This window comes from Homo sapiens, chromosome 7 (genome assembly GCF_000001405.40).
Source record: "Homo sapiens chromosome 7, GRCh38.p14 Primary Assembly".
Taxonomy (NCBI): Eukaryota; Metazoa; Chordata; class Mammalia; order Primates; family Hominidae; genus Homo; species Homo sapiens.
This window is the reverse complement of record NC_000007.14, coordinates 19,415,542-19,433,728: the sequence shown is the minus strand read 5'-3', so window position 1 is coordinate 19,433,728 and position 18,187 is coordinate 19,415,542. Positions and strand designations below refer to the sequence as shown.

General features: G+C 36.6%; 1 annotated feature.

Annotated features, from left to right (window-relative positions):
- Window positions 11,418-11,942: an enhancer, noted in NCBI's record as "OCT4-NANOG hESC enhancer chr7:19461410-19461934 (GRCh37/hg19 assembly coordinates)". NCBI's record gives its function as "activates a minimal SCP1, AML or CMV promoter by ChIP-STARR-seq in naive H9 embryonic stem cells {active_cell/tissue: H9 hESC(naive)}" and the evidence as "EXISTENCE:reporter gene assay evidence [ECO:0000049][PMID:30033119]".

Sequence of the window (18,187 nt, the reverse complement as noted above, 5' to 3'; positions counted from 1 at the left end):
GCTGGTCAAGTACCAGAGTCCAAAAGCTGAAGAACCTGGAGTCTGATGTCCAAGAGCAGGAGGAGCAGAACCAAGCGTCTAGCATGGGAAGAAGAAAAAAGAAAGCCAGAAGAGTAGCCAAGCAAACTTAACCCACCTTCTTCCTCCTGCGTTGTTTTAGCAGGAGCTGATTTGATCCGGCAGCTGATTGAATGGTGCCCACCAATTGAGGGTGGATCTTCCTCCCCCAGTCCACGGACTCTCCTCTTGCAACACTCCCACAAACATACGCAGAAACAATACTTTACCAGCCATCCAGGCATCCCTCAATCCAACCAAGTTGACACCTAATATTAACCACCATAGACAGTTTTATCACCTGTAAACAAGGAGTTTTATTTATTCTGTCTCAAATTGTATACATTTTGTTTCCTTTTCTGATCTTATTGCATTAGTTAAGACTTCCTGAGCAATGCTGAATAAGACTGGTGAGAGGTGATGTCATATTTTACTTGTCCCAAATCTTAGGGAGAAAGCATCTAGTTTCTCATCAATAAGTATGATGCTAATTCTTTTCCTAGGCTGCTGACAGTCTTTATCATGAATGCCTGCTGGGTTTTATCAAATGCTTCTTTCTACACTTATTGACATGACCACATATTTTTTTCTTCTTTAGCCTATTGATATGATGGGCCATATTAACTGATTTTCAAACGTTGAACCAGCTTTGTACATAAAAATAATGTACCAAAAAAATGACCAAATAAACTACTCGGTCATTGTATTAGTCTTTTTTCACACTGCTGTAAAAAATACCCAAGACTGGGTAATTTGTAAAGAAAAGACGTTTAATTGACTCACAGTTCCACATGGCTGGGAAGGCCTCAGGAAACTTACAATTATGGCTGAAGGGGAAGCAGGCACATCTTACATGGTGGCAGGTGAGAAAGAACATATGAAGGAGGAATGGTCAAACACTTATAAAACCATCAGATCTCCTGAGAACTTACTCACTATCATGAGAACAGCATGGGGGAAACCACCCCCATGATCCAATCACCTCCCACCAGGCCCCTTCCCTGACACATGGGGATTGTGGGCATTACAATTCGCGATGAGATTTGGGTGGGGACGCAGAGCCAAACCGTATCAGTCATGGTGTATAATTATTTTTATGAATTGTTTTGCTAATATTTTGTTGAAGATTATATATATTTTTGTGAGAGATATTGGTCTATAATTTCCTTTCCAGTAACATATTTGTTTCATTTTCATATGAAGGTAATTCCAGCCTCATAGAATAAGGTAGAAAGTATTTCTTCAGTTTTTAGATTGTGAAAAAGATTGTAGAGAATTATTTAAAGTTTGTTAGAACTTACCAGTGAAACTATCTAGGCCTGGACTTCCCGGTTTTGAAAATTTATTAGTTATTGACTCAAATTCTTTAATTGATATAGACCTATTTAAATTATATATTTCTCTAACAGATATATAATCTTGACTTTTGGTAGATTGTGTCTTTCTAGAATTGACTCATTTCATCTAAATTTTCAAATTCTGGGTAATAGAATTGTGCTCGCTTCAGCAGCACACACACTAATAGAATTGATAATAATATTCCTTTATTGTCCTTTTAATGTCTGTGCTATCAGCTGTGATAACCCCTCTTTTATTTTTGATATGAGTAATTTGTGTCTTCTTGTTTTTGGTTAACCTAGCAAGAGGTTTAGTTATTTTATTGATCTTTTCAAAGGACTATCTTTTGGTTTTATTGATTTCTGTACTAATTTTCTGCTTTCAGTTTTATCAATTTATATTGTAATTTATTATTATTTATTTTCTCCTTGGATTTAATGTGCTCTCCTTTACTAGTTTTGTAAGGCAGAAACTTAGTTAGGGACTTCAGATCCTTTATCTTTTCTAATACGTGTATTTAGTGCTATAAATTTCTCTCCAAGCACTGCTTTTGCTGCATATCACAATTATTTTTATCTTTTTTTTTTTTTTTTTTTTTTGAGACAGGTACTCACTCACAGAGTGAGTGCACACAGGCTGGAGTGCAGTGGCATGTTTTTGGCTCACTGCAACCTCTGTTTCTTGGGCTCAAGCAATCCTCCTGCCTCAGCCTTCTAAGTAGCTGGGACTACAGCTACATGTGCCACCATGCCTGGCTAGTTTCTTTTTTTTTTTTCTTGGTAGAGATGAGGTTTCACCATGTTGCCCAGGCTTGTCTTGAACTCCTCAGCTCAAGTGATCCACCTGACTTGGCCTCCCAAACTGCTGGGATTACAGACGTAGGCCACCATATCTGGCCACAAATTTTGATAGTTGATATTTTTATTTTCATTTAGTTTGAAATATTTTATAATTTATCTTAAGACTTCTTTGAATCACATATTATTTAGAAGTGTGTTGTTAAATCTCCAATTATTTTGTGATTTTGTAACTTTTTTCTGTTAGTAATTTCTAGTTTAATTCTATTGTAATTTTGAGGACAGACGTTGTATTATTTTTATTATTTTTAATTTGTTCAGGGTATTTCACTGCCAGGAATGTAGTTTATCTTGGCGAATGTTCTGTGAACCTGAAAAGAATATATATTATTACGTTGATGGGTGAAGTCTTCCGTAAATGTCAAATAGATAGTTGATAGATGGTGTTATTCAGTTTCATTATATAAGTGTTATCTTTCTATCTGCTGAATCTGTTTAATTCCTGCAAATTGAATTCTCCAAATATAATAGTGGATTTTCCCATTTCTCTTTGCTGTTCTAACAGTTTTTGCCCCATGTATTTTAATATACTTTTGTTAAACATATACACATCCAGGATTATTATGTCTTCTGGGAGAACTGACACTTTTGTGATTACATAAAGCCTGTCTTTATTTCTGATCATTTTTCTTGCTCTGAAGTCTGCTTTCCCTGAAGTGAACATAACTACCCCATCTTTCTTCTGATTAACGTTAGCATGGCATATCTTTCTTCACACCTTGGTTTCTCATATATTAATGTTTATATATTTAAAGTGGGTTTTTTGTAGGTGAAATATAATTGGGTTTTGATATCCACTCTGACAGCCTGTTTTTAATTGTTGTATTTAGATCATTGACATTTAAAGTGATTATTGATAGTGCCGGGTTATTATTGGCTACATTTGTTGCTGTTTTCTATTTGTTTCCCCTGTTCTTTCTTTGTTTTTGTCTTCCACTCTCTTTTTTCCTTTTCTGGTTGTGAGCATTTTATATGATTCTATTTCCTCTCCCCTCTTAGTTTATCAATTATACTTATTTCTTTAGTTTTTTAAATGATTGTCTTAAAGTTTACAATATACATATACAACTAATCTAGGTCCACTTTTTATTACAGGTACTGTACAACAAAGTATTTCCAATTTCTCCATCTCTTAGAACGTTACTGTCTTACATTTCACTTATATATAAGCTGTATTTGTTCAATACATTGTTGCTATTAATGTTTTTAACTGTTACGTTTTAGATCATTAAAATACAAAATAGAAACAATTTTATTTTATCCCCTTTTATTTAATTTGAATGCTCTTCCTTTATATAAATCCAATTTTAATATCTATATCATATTCCTCTCCTCTGGAGGAATTCTTTTAACATTTTGTGTGTTTGTGTGTGTGTGTTTAAATTTAAGGGGTACAGGCCGGGTGAGGTGGATGATGCCTGTAATCACAGCACTTTGGGAGCCTGAGGCGGGCAGATTGCAAGGTCAGGAGTTTGAGACCAGCCTAACCAACATGGTGAAACCCCGTCTCTACAAAAATACAAAAATTAGCCGGGTGTGGTGGCACGTGTCTCTAATCCCAGCTACTCAGGAGGCTGAGGCAGGAGAACTGCTTGAAGGCGACAGGTGGAGCTTGCAGTGAGCCGAGATTGTGCCACTGTACTCTAGCCTGGGCAACAGGGAGAGACTCTGTCTCAACAACAACAACAAAAATTAAGGGGAAATGCAGTTTTGCTACAGGGATATATTGCACAGTAGTGCAGTCGGGGCTTTTAGTGTAACCAGCACTCAAATAGTGTACCTTGTACCCATTAGGTAATTTCTCATCCTTCACCCCCTTCCCACCCTCCTACTCTTCCAAGTCTCCAGTGACTACTATTCCACACCCTATGTCCATGTGTCCACATTATTTAGCTCTCATTTATAAGTGAGAATATGCAATATGACTTTCTGTTTCTGAATTGTTTCACTTCAGTCTATTCATAACAAATTCCTTCAACTTTTTTGTCTGAGAAAATCTTTATTTCTCTTTCCTTTTTGAAGAATAATTCACTGAACACAGAATTCTAGGTCATTGGGTTTTTTTTATTTAAATACTTTCTTTGTATTGCATTCTCTCCTTGCTTACATGGTTTCTGATGAGAAGTCTGATATATTCTTATTCTTGTTCCTCTATAGGTAAGGTGTTTTTTTTTCTCTGACTTGTCAAAATACTTCTTTGTGTTTGATTTCCTGAAGTTTAAATATAATATGCATAGGTATACATTTTTGATACTTATCTGAGCTTTCTGGATCTGAGATTTGGTGTCTGCCAATAATTTGGGGAGATTCTCAGATGTTATTTCTTAAAATATATCTTCTTTTCCTTCTTTTTTTCTTTTTGTATTCCCATTGCACATACATTACACGTTTTGAAATTGACTCATGGTTCTTGGATATTTTGTTCTCAAATATTTTTATTTACTTTTTAGTTTTGAAAGTTTCTATCATCTTCATCCTCACTGATTCTTTCCACAGCTATGTCCAGTCTAGTGATGAGCCCATCAATGACATCCTTCATTCGTGTTGCATTATGATTTCTAGTATTTCCTTATGACTCTTCTTTAGAATTTTCATTTCTCTGCTTATATTCTCTACCTGTTCTTTCATGTTGTCCACTACTTTTCATTAGACCTCTTAGTATATTAGTCACAGTTATAATTTCCCAATCGGATAATTCCAAAATCTGCCATATATGAGACTAGTTCTCACTCTGTCTCTTTAGACTATGTTTATTTTTGTTTTGTTTTGATTTTTTCTATTTTACCATGCCTTATAAATTTTTTGTTGAAAGTTAGAAATGATATGTTATGTAAAAGGAACCAAGATAAATAGGCTATAGGGTGGGGTGTTGTTTACCTGGCTAGGATTTAGGCATGCTTACTGTTTGCTATAGTTGTATATTTCACAGGTTAAAATTTTCTCTGATGTCCTTGTTTTTGTCTCTCCTGTCGTGTTCAGGTTTCCCTAGAGACCACTTTTTAAACAGCATCTGAACCTCACAGATTTTTTCAGCTGCAATCACTTGCTATTATACAAGTTCCTTATTGTCATGGTAGTAAAATGTCAGAAGAAAAGTGCTGTGTACTCCTGTGGGTAGGTCTCAGTCTTTTAGTGAGCTTCTGCCCCAGGTTATGACTTTTACCAGGGTTTCTCAGCTTTTATGTTCAATCCCTTAGGTGAGATAGAAAGGCTGGAGTAGGCTGGAGTTGGGTATTTCCTTTTACCCAGGTCAGTTAAACTCAGGTACAGTTGAACTTGGTTAGGCTCTGGTAAAATAGTGTCCTTTGAGGGCAGGCCTTTGTTAAGGAGAAGGGAGTGCTATGGATACATCTGCAAGTGGTTACTCTTCCTCTCTTACTGCTGGAAGCAGGAGGGGATTTTTCATGGATCTTCACAGTGAGAACATGTTGGCGCTCTTAGAGGTAAAACTCACAAAAGTATGAGGAACCCCCTAATTCCGGGATTTCAGGAGTTTTTATCTCTTAAGCTAGTCCACACTCAGTCTTCGGCATTTAGTCAGTTAAGTATTCTTTAACTGTTCTCACCAGATGCTCCTGGTGAGATCCTGGTGAGGAAATGCTCCTGTGGCATTTCCTGCTCAGTACGCTGTGACTGTTTGTTCATACCTGACTCTCTAGTTTTGGGGATGGTGGTTTACCTTGTGAACTCACTTCTCTGATGTATCCAAGAAAAGCTGTTAACTTTCAGTTATTCAGCTTTTTTTTTCCTTATTATGTGGATGGGAGAGATGGCTTCCAAGCCATTTTTATATAGTATCCGAAACCAGAAGTTCATGTATTACTTTTTAATTCATTAAAGATTGTGAGTATACAATGTCTGTGAAGTTAAAGGTGTTTTCTCTCCCTCTTCCCTTGCCTTGTTTTCCCTTCCCTTCCCTTTCTTGAAAAATCAGTTTTAAAAACATCAGTGGCCAGAACAAGTCAGGCTGAATAAGATGCACCTGTGGAGAGGTGGCGCACTATGGGTTGTCAGCCAAAGCGGATTAGAGGTTCATGCACACTGTGAGGTGGGTGGCCAGTATAGGCAATCAGCTAGAGTGGTTAACATCATTAATAAGTAGAACCTGTGAACCACCTGATAGGCTGCAACAAGAAGACCTAGCATCCTTGAGATATTCTTGACAATGATGCATAACGCGAATCTAATCATGAGGCCATACTGGAAAGACACAAATTAAATAATATTCTATAAAATACGTGTCCTGTAATCCTCAAAAGTATCAAGGTCATGAAAGTCAAGGCAATAATTGGAACTACTCTAGACCAAAGGAGATTAAAGAGACATAACACCTAAATGCAACTCATGATTCTGACCTGAATTTTTTTCTATAAAAAAACATTATTTACAAAATTGGAAAAACTTGAGTAGGGTCTGAGGCTGAGTTGATAATAATATATTAATGTTATTTTCCTGATTTTGATGGCTGTATGGTGGTTATGTAGGAGATTGACTATGTTTATAATAAATCTCACAAGATTAAGGTATTTAAGTTGTATATCAGGTCAACAACTTACTTTCAAAATCAATACTTTGAATTGTGTTTGCAAGTTTTACGGGATTATTTCAGAATAAAAATACATTTAAAATAGATGATTCCAGCAAGGGATAAAAGATACAAAATTAACTGTTTGAGTGACTCTAAATGAGTTCCTTCTTTTGTGATCTAACACCTTATACCTTAGCATCTGTTTCTTGTTTATTTGCTACTTTGTTTTAGTGCACTTTTTTTGCACATATTCTTCCCTCACTTTCCTTAGAGATAAGGTACTTAACAGACACACACAATTTAAGACCATTGGAGACATGATGAACATCTTGTTAATCATATATTCGTGGCTTAGAATACTTTATCTCTTATTTATAGCTAAAAAAAACTTTATGTAATAAGCTGCTTGGTCTTAATCATATTGTAAATAATATTAACAATGCAAACAAATCAAAACAGTATAAAAGATACTAACTCCAGAAAAATTCAGCTTTAATTTTTCTTCATTTTTTACTTTGGCCTTGGTGGAAAAGCAACATTTGTCTTCATAAGGTTCTTTAAAACAGTTCAATTTGAATAAACTCTGCAAATACATTTATTTATTATGCCTCTCAAATTGCAACTACAGCAAGAATATAATTTAGAAAGTATATAAATTATTTTTAATATTTAAAAGATAAAGCATAATCTATTTTTTCTCTCATGTGTTAGCATTATTATTTGCAATGCCAACAGTCATATTCCAAAAGAGTATTGTTTCATAAAAAGCTAATTTTTAAGTGTAGCTTTCAAAGCAGGGAGCAAGTTTGGTCTGCCAGCTCTAGAAACAGCTTCTTGGCCTAACTATCAATTTTATGTCTGGTCAGCTAGCATATTTATGGTAGTTTTATCTTGCATAAATACAATTATCAAAGTAATGTTTCTGAAAATAAAATATATAAATTTTTAATTTCCCAAATGTCTTACCACTTCTCACTGTAAGAAGGAGTCTAAAACCCTTTTTCTTTTTCTTTTTCTTTTTTTTTTTTTTTTTTTTGAGATGAAGTCTTGCTCTGTCGCCCAGGCTGGAATGCAGTGCTGTGAACCTGGCTCACTGCAAACTCCACCTGCCGGGTTCAAGTGATCCTTCTGCCTCAGCCTCCTGAGTAGCTGGAATTACAGGCATATGCCACCACGCCCGGCTACTTTTTGTATTTTTAGTAGAGACAGGGTTTCACCATGTTGGTCAGGCTGGTCTGAACTCCTGACCTCGGGATCTGCTCGCCTCGGCTTCCCAAAGTGCTGGGATTTGAAACCCATTTTAGAGATGTGAAAACAGGCCCAGAAACAGTAACTGGTAGGTGACGTTTAGATACTTATAAGATTATACCAAATAACTAGCAGCTTAAGGAAAAGCACAGTAGTCACAGAGCCAAATGGTAACATATATTCATGCATATACACATATATCTGTTTTTCACTCATTGTATCAATAAATATGCATTAAGCACGCAATATAAACTCTGAACTATAGTGTAATACAGTTTGGTTTTTGTTTGTTTGAAACCTTGTCTTCACCCAGTTTTGCAGCAATAGCTAGAGGCAACCAGATCCCCTTCTTGGGCTGCTATTTATGTCTATACACCAGCCACTCCCTTTATCAGGTTCTTACACTCCTAGATAATTATGAACCCTCCTGCTTGCCCCAGAGCTAGACACCAGACAACTAGAAGCAGCCTCAAAGCCCCGGACCCTGCAAAAGTATTCAAACTTGCCAATAAACTAGCAGTCCAGTAACCTATCTAAACCCACCCCACTTGCCATACATAAGCTGTCCCCTACAGCTCCAGCTTGTTGTTATTCTTCCCTGTGTGGTCCTGCATAGCAGCCTTTTCTCCTCTGGAGCTATAAGTGACAAAGAGTTCTGCCTTTCATCTTTCTGTCATTGTGTTTTGTCCTACCATCAAAAGCATATTTTAATCTTATAAAATAGATATAATGGTGAACAAAACCCAGTCCCAAATCTAACAGCTTTCCTACTTATTGGAAAGACAGACAAATAAGCTATCATGCAAAAGCCAGGAGATTCCTCAGTTCCAAATCATGACCTCGGACACTATTAGAAGTTTGTCAGATGACAGGTATGGAAGGTAGTGGGGGAATACTACAGGAGGAGTCTAAAAATACTGCAAAGAATAGGAGATAAATCTCAGAAGATTCATAGAGCATAATTTGGGTGAGTGGAAAAATCAGAAGAGGTAGTAAAGGATGACCTTAGTTGAACAGAAGCAGACACTACAGAGCATTTTATACAGTAAAGAATGTTGGCCCATCTTGTTGGCCCATCTTGAGGCCAATAGAGAGCTATGAAAGGGGATTATGCAGAAAACTGGCCATGATCAAGATATTTTGAAAGAGTGTTTTGATTTTAACATGAAAAATGAACTGGAAATTTTTAAGGGGGAGTGCAAACTGTACACAGGGAACGCTAGCCAGGAAAGCAGTAATACTGGCTACAGTGGCTGAAAGAATGACTTGGAGTAATGGGAGCAGGGCATAAATGTATGGCCATGAACAAACTGTGGCAGGTGAGGGTTGACTACAACACACACACACACACACACACACACACACACAGACAAACACACATGTCTGTATCCTGATTAAAGGTTTTCAGGGACTTTATTTTTAAACTTCTACCATGGCTTTAATCTATCCTGTTATCTTTTAGCTGGTATTGGCTCCAGTTCAGAGTTTTATAAAACTGATCTTATTGAAACCCTTCAGCCTAAACCAAACCTTAATCAAAAACATGGTTCCTTCTGATTCTTCCAATGCTAATTTATACAGTAGTAAAAATGCTGTCCTAAATTAGCTTTAATCTTCATTTGTATCATATCATTTACAATTGAGTTAACTTGTTAAATATAACTGATTACAGATTAAGCTTTCTAGGGAATAAAATATACCCTCTCATGTAAAATGACCAGAGGGAAAATCAAAGCACTTGAGGCAAGCATATCCTGAGCAGTCTATTTGAGCAAAAGGAAGAGTTTCTCTTTTCTTATATATTCTGTCTATCATTAGGAAAGATCTTTATTTGTGCTTAAATGACCAAAAATGACTGTATTCAACTACCAACAACTGGTAGATTGGCATTCAACTCACAGAACAAGAGCTCACCCAAATAACATGTCTTTAAAAACATTCCATATGCTTGGAAACTCATTGATTGCAATTAAATTTTTAGCAGCATATTGTACTTATTTCTCTTAAGTGAGCAATGGGTTAAGACATTGTAAAAGGACAAGATAGTCTTCTGGGAGTATGGCAGAACTTTTATTGACTAGGAGTTTCTTTTTTGTAAAGTTGACCTTCATCCTGATTTTTTCATCTGTTTTTAACAAATCACATCCCTAAACATTACACAGAAACAAAAAGTCACACTGTTCCTCACTGTCTCCTGCCGTTATGAGGTCCTCAGATGGCCTTGGAAATAATCCTATAATCCCATGGACACAAAAGTATTCTAGTGACTCTCGGCTAGATCATTAATCATAATGCAGAATCCACAAATAGAATCATCATTAATCTGTTTCAGTATCCCTTGAGAAATCTGAAATATAAAGTGAGTCACACATAATTAGAAAAATCATATTGCATTTCAGGAGAGGAGGGTAAAGTGCTCTCAATGACAAAGCTACATGTAAAATGAAGAAACTCACTGAGTGCAAGTTTAGCAGTGAAAGAGTACTCGCTTGACTACCCTGCCATGTGCCTGTTTTTGTATAGGATGTCAAACAACAGCCTACAACTATATTTGATAATTAACCAGTAAAAATATTTTTTTATTTATCTGCTCAAAACTTTGAATAACCAAAGAACCAGAATACAGAAGAAAAATCTTCTTAAAGTTACCTATAACATTTATGCATGCATCTATAATATGGTGAAAATAGAATTTATGCTTAAATGAATACTATTGACGTGAATTCTGTACTTGGATCAAGATACATTTAAAAACATTTTTTAAAATTTGAGACAATTATACGTTTACAGCTGGTGCAGTTGTAAGAAATAATAAAGAGATTTGTGTACCTTTTACCCAGTTTCATCAATTATAACATTTGCAAAACTATAATAAAATATTACAGCCAGGATATTCACATTGATACAACCCACTAATGTTGTAAGAATTATGTTATTAATGCCTGGTCAACATACCCCAAATTGAGCTAAATATCTCCCTCTCTCCTCATATTGTTCTTCACACTATACTCCCACATTTATGTTTTGGATTCATGGGCAAATAATTTGCCATTTGCTGAGATGATGAATAAAAGAGAAAAATTAGGTACTTGAAGGTGGTGATTAGACAGAAGAGTCTGAAGACGTTGGGCTGGGGTTCCTGCAAGACCTCCAGCTTGAGGTGTCTAGCAGGTATTTGGCTTGACAACTCTGCAACTCGAATCTGAACTCTGCCACACCTAGCTAGAAAGTAGGCATTATAATTAGGCTAAAGAAGCCAAGAAAAACTTGGCCACCTTTAAAAAAACACACACACACATCAACAATAGTGGACACATCTCTTCCAGAATACCCCTCTAGAACAACTACTTCCTTTATTTCTCAGGGCTTCTATTTACACCTCTTATTGGCCTCGAGAGTGAAATGTCAAGAATACAAAGATTGATTTGGTTTTGTCTGGGAGTAGAGTTTATTTTAAAGATGCTAACAAATTCAAGTAGTGGCAGAGTATAGTTTCTATAATATAAAATTTCAAACAGCCAGTTACTGTTCTTCCATCCCTTTGAAGGGGCCCAAACTAAACAGCTCCATATTCATTACAAAAGACCTCTGTGGAGTACCTTATTATGCATCATTTAAAGAGTGTAGAAGAACACAAATCCAGGAATCCTTTGGAATTTCAGACTATATAAATAGCCCGTCAGTGAATGACAGCTTAAGCTGTGCTATGCAAAAAGCATGGCAGAGACAATAAATTATTTGAACTGAGTTGGTTTTTCCATATTATTCTAACCCTTGAGCATCATAGGGACAATTTCCCTTTGCTATATTTCTATACTAAAGTCCAAGGGTAATATTTGGAGTGATTTCCCATGAGCTCCTGTGATGATCTGCATTATTAAAAACGATTATTCCCAACCAGAGGCCATATCTGCCAGCAGCAAGACAGGGGGGAAGCATTGTGTGAGCTCCTGGCTCCAGGAACACTGCTGTAGATCCCGGGACAAAGTGCCAGTGACTTTTTTCACCTGACTGGAGGGTTTGGAAATGGTTTTCCTTTGTGTCTGCAATCCATTTTAACAAAATAGTTTCTGTATTTAGTTAAAACCAGGATAACAGAGAAGATGAGGCCTTTGAGAATGGTTGTTTCATCAACTAAGGATTCCTGACAGACTTTAAACAATGCTGAATTACATTCCTTCTTGATTTTTCTGGCCAAAATAGCATAATGGGCGATACAACATCAGGTAGACTCACCGCTGGATATGGAGTAAATACGTGCAACTAAGATTAGGGAAATTAAATGTGCTTTATTAAATGTTAGTTAATACTCATCAGTGCCTCCATCTTTGCTGGGCCTTTCACACTGTTAGATAAATGTGAAACACCCTTTGGCATTTTCATATTTATCTAAGGCTTTTCCCAGAACATTTTTTACCTGAACCTGGTGTCTAGACTGTGAATGTAATTGGAAGGAAACGTCTAAAGCTGAGAAGAACAGAGAAAGCTTCCTCCAGAAATCCACTAAGAACCTTAGTTTCACAATAATAACACCCTGATGTCAACTGCTTCCTTCTATTGACTATGTTTCCGCCAACGCCAATCTTGACCTGAAACACTAACTCCCTTCCCCCTCTTTCATAAGAAATGCAAGCATATTTAATATACTATTTTTGATATGAGATTGCAGGTTGGGGAAGGTAGGTAGGTAACAGCCCACAGCCTACAATATTTCACTTTAAAAAAGTCTCTTTGCCAAGCCACAAGGTCATATGACTTCCTACTGCCAGCCACAAGGTCACAATGCTCTAACCATTCTTCCCACACACTGTTCAGAAGGGTCCCTTCTTCCTTTCACCAACACTGGGTACCAGTCCTAGCAATTCTCCTGCCTCAGCCTCCCAAGTAGCTGGGATTACAGGCACACGCCACCACACCCAGCTAATTTTTTTGTATTTTAATAGAGATGGGGATTCACTGTGTTTCCCAGGCTGGTCTCAAACTCCTGAGCTCAGGCAGTCCATCCGCCTTGGCCTCCCAAAGTGCTAGGATTACAGGAGTGATCCTAGGGTAACTTTTCAAAAGATCTTTTGATCAAATCTTATCTTGCCCTACAAAAATATCCTCACATCAGTGTTCAGAAATTCGACTTTTTCTGTATCATTGGATTAATAATAATGACAATGACCTCAAGCAAAAGAAGGAGAAGAGTATGTCTCCTATTTCATCTTAGAAAGTATTCTATGAAGAAAGTAATATTGCACAGACAGAAAGTAATATGCTCTGGGTTGGGGAAGGAGGCAAGAGTTAGGTTCAGCCAAGATAAATACAGTTAATGACTCCACAAACAATTGACTAGATCGGACCCTTTCTTGTCACTTTCTGTTACATAGCATTGGGGTATGTTTAAAAAGTTCAGGGAGAGCGGCTATTTATAGAAATTATACAGGAGGTATCTTTATGTTTTCCAATTACCAGTATTTCAAAATGTATACTGCACTTCCCTAAATTAACACTTCTTCACTCCAAATTGATGTATCCATTCCCATAAGGATGTCGTTTTTTAGGTCTTCTATGAAATCCTCTTCATATTCATAAAATAAATATAGGTTATCTTCAGAAAAAGAAAAATTTATAAATACTGAATGTCCATGCTAATTTGAGAAAAACCCTCAATTAGAGACCAAACTACAATATGTAAAGAGAAATATTGCTACAGAGTATTACTTGACAAATATCTCAGGGCACAGTGTACTATATTTTTATTCTTTCCTTCCTTCTTTCCTTTCTTCCTTCCTTCCTTTCCTTCTTTTCTTGAAATGGATTTTTATTCCGTCCTTCCTTCTTTCCTTCCTTCCTTCCTTTCCTTCTTTCTTTTTTTGAAATGGAGTTTCACTCTTGTTGCCCAGGCTGCAGTGCAATGGCACGATCTTGGCTCACTGCAACCTCCACCTCCTGGGTTCAAGCGATTCTCCTGCCGGAGCCTCCCAGGTAGCTGAAGTTACAGGCATGCGCCACCACACCCAGTTAATTTTCTTTTTGTATTTTTAGTAGAGACAAGGTTTCACCGTGTTGGCCCAGTTGGTCTCGAACTCCTGACCTCAGGTGATCCACCCACCTCAGCCTCCCAAAGTGCTGGGATTACAGGCGTGAGCCACAATGTCCGAACTCTCTTTTTTTTTCTTCTATTTACCTTCTTCTGAACCTCCCCTCTCTTCCATCCACACAATGAATAAAATAAATTTCTATCAACCTGGACATCAGGATTATTTTTTGAGAGTTTCATCTCCAGTTTCTAAACATTAATAATTTGTCCAGAAACTACTGATGAAGTTCATAGCTGATTCATCTCCCATCAACATTTCTCATCTCCTCTGTCAGGCTAAAAGTGCCCTTTAGAGAAAATGGCGACTACTCTAAGCGTGACTGTGCCTCAGTTTGGGAAGAAACAGCAGGTAGGGTCTACAGGAGCTTTCGGCGTCTTCTTTGAAGATCTGTTTTGGGGATGGGATGTAAGCGGAGACACAGTAATGAAACATTTTGGAATCGGACAAGAAATGAACAGGAAGTCGTTTTAGTCCTGGTTTGCTTAATTACTGCAAGGAGCAAAAAAGGAAAGGAGAAACAGAGAGAAAGTTGGATAGCCATCAAAGGATGATTGCTTAAAAGTTCCTTCCTCCTCTGCCTTTTTATTTCGATTAACTAGCGTGGAGCTGCCAGCTTTTCCCTGAAATTAACCCTCTGTTACACTCCCAAGAACATAGAAGTTCTGTTTAGAGAAGTCGCTGTATGAAGAGTCACTGTTATTTCAGAGAAGGAAAGTGATAAAGGGTAGAGTAGCTAAACGGAGTCAAATAGGGAAAAATGAATGGCAAGAAACAAAGAAGCAAATGAGCTACGTACCAGATTTCAAAATCTGTAGTTTTATTTGAGCACGCAACTAAGATTTTTGAAAAATTTAATTAAAAATTTTATAGAACTTTGGAGTTATAAATTACCTTAAAAACAACAAAATATGACCATTCTCTTTTTTCACTTACATGAAGAAACTGAATTCCTCAGGGATGAAGACATTTGTCCATACATGTCATAATAGTGGTAAGTTTAGACCCTCAACCAGGTCACCTGAATTTTTGAACTTTTTTTTTTTTTTTTTTTAAGATAGAGTCTCGCTCTGTCATCCAGGCTGGAGTGCAGTGGTGCGATCTGGGCTCACTGCAAGCTCCGCCTCCCAGGTTCACACCATTCTCCTACCTCTGCCTCTTGAGTAGCTGGGACAACAGGTGCCCGCCACCATGCCTGGCTTTTTTTTTTTTTTTTGTATTTTTAGTAGAGATGGGGTGAATATTTTTATGTACTAGAATCATATAAACAAGTTACCATGTACAAGACATCTGTCAGTTGACAATATTTATTATGATCACTAATTATTTGAACATTATTCTTAGACTTACTAAAAAACGAAATATAGTAAGCTATAAATAATATTGTGATATATTTTAAAATTTAAGTTGCATACATGCAAATAGAAGAAAACAAAGGAAGCCATAATACAAATCAGTGTTCTGACTTCTACAAGATGAGCATTCATTTAAAAAATTGAATAATTGCCATCTCTGTTTTCTTCATGTTTCAATATTGTTTAAATATCTGAATTTCTAGCAAACTTGAAGCACCACATTTTTTTAGTTCAATTAATAGCCAGGAAACCGTGGGTAAGTTCCTTAACCTGTTGTGATGATCACATGAGGTATTTTATGTTGAAGTACTTACCCTGGCATCTGGTATATAATCAGTGCAGTGTTAGCTTTTATTAGTAGTAAGCATTTTTTAATGAAAAGAGTAAAAAGGAAAGGGTCACCTATATCCGAAAAAATGTAGGATTTGGCTATAAGCGTCAGTTCACTGTAAGCAACAGCTGGTCTCTTTACAGGGCTTAGGATACAGATTACATAAAATATATATATATAGGAAGAGGAAAAGGGTAAAAACTTTCAAAGTTCACCAGTTGTAGCCTACAGCATTTCACTCAAGCTCATTAGGAAGTTTACATTTATAATGTAATCTCTTTGAAACAGATTTGATTTTTTTTTTTCAGTAAGGATCTTGTAAATTAAAATTTTCCCAGGGGGCTAACCTAGTACAAGTTGTTCCAGAGGTGGAATTCCTTCTGATCAAATATCTCCAAGCAGAAGAAAAATGGTTCACTAAGACTAGTGTACTGGCTTATATAATTAGCAGTGAATATCGGAATACCAGGGGGCAGCACCAGCAGTTAATAATACCCTTGCCTTCAGAACTGCATTTAGCAAAAGAAAGACATTTAGCCTACATAAAAGAACTGCGCAAATTAGCAGTACATTGTCTCAGTCCAGCTGTTGTAAAGTATTACCATATGGCTTTATAGTACACCTTTATTTTACCTTGGAGGTTAAAAGGCCTTTTAAAAAATACTACTTCCTAAGGTTGTTCTCTGCTACACAAAAAATACCAGTACATCTATACATTTTGGGGAAAATGGCTAATGTATGAAGGTTACAGTTTACACCCTTACCTTTTCCTACTACCTCACCTAGCCAAGATTCCTGTGAATGAAGTCATACTTACATCAAGCAAAGTAATTCAGAAGTGAATTAAATTCTGCTTCCAAACGACAATGCATGCAGAGACACTAGCTGTGGAAAGTGCCATGCAGGGAACAAGAGAGTTCCTGCAGGAGTTGGTTCTTTAGTTCAACTCGATATGAAAATGGGGCCCCTTAACAGAGACAGACTGAGGGTCTTATCAAACAGTGACCAAGCATATTGCCTGGCACCGAATTGACAGTTATAGATGATACATGCACCAATGAGTACCTTTTTTAAATGACACTGGGATAGAGTCTCATAGTTTTGCTATCATTTGTAAGGACTATTCAACACCACAGGAGCAAAACACTATTCAGGAAGCCTGGTGATTAAAAAATGTGAGATCTGGCAATAAAGCCTTTAGAATCCTGCCACTAAAGGGAGGTGAACTGACTGGAAGCCAATAAGGTAAATGAACAATAAGAGAGTAAGTATTTTGTATGCACTTCTACTAGTGGAAAATTTTATATCCAATGTGATCAAATTTACTGAGCAATATTTTAAAAATCAGCCGAAGCTAATTATCTTCTTTTTAAACAAGGACATACATATCTGGAATATTTTAATTTAAAGCATAAATAGATGTATATTCTAGCTATATGCTGCTAATATGGGACAACATCCTTTTCATTGTATAAAGTGGAGTTCCAAATTTTTTTCTGTAAAGGACTATATATTAAATATTTTAGGTTTTGAGAGCCCCGTTTGGCCTCTGTTGCTGGGCTGCTGCAGATCCTCCTCCTCCACCCCCTTCTGCGTCTTCTTTTTCTCTTTCTTCTTTTTACAACCTTTTAAAATGTAAAAATCATTCTAAGGTCATAGTTCATACAAATACAGGCCTCAGGCCATTTTTGACATAAGCCATAGTTGCTGGCTCTCAGGACATAAGTTCACTGTTGGTGTTCTGTTTTCATCCCTGCATAAATCACATTGATAATCAAGTGTAACTTCCAAATTATTTCTCTTTTGACTGCAAATAAATCATTTAAAGACAAAGGCACAGCACTATAAATGTAATACACATTTTTTTCTGATTAAAATTTCCTCTACAATATTCAACTTAGTTTTCCTAGAAACAATTCTGTTACTTCTTAAATTCCTATTTTATAGGTTTGCCTAGTACTCAAATTGCAAGGATAACCAAAACAGGAATATACAGGTTGGAAACAAACCTATTGTCTCTGGGAAAAAAAAAAAAAATCAAAGAGAGTAAGCGGAAGCAGCAGTGTGGCAATACACTAGTGTGTTAGCTGTGAAGCTTCCGCATGCCCTGGGCATTGATAAGTATGTTTTAGAAAGAGAATAGAAAGCACTGGTAATCCCATGGATCAGTTTAACTGCAAGTGATTCTGGAAACTTATATGGAATTGCTTGGGCACTATGTTAAATCTTTGCATATGTTTAATGGCCAGAGAGATACCATCCCAAAGGATAATAAAAAACTAGCTAAGATATATTGCACACTTCATTTGTACCAAGCAGTTTTACATCCATTCTTATTTAATCCTCACCATACCTCTAAGATGTAGGTGCAAGTATTAATATCTGACTTC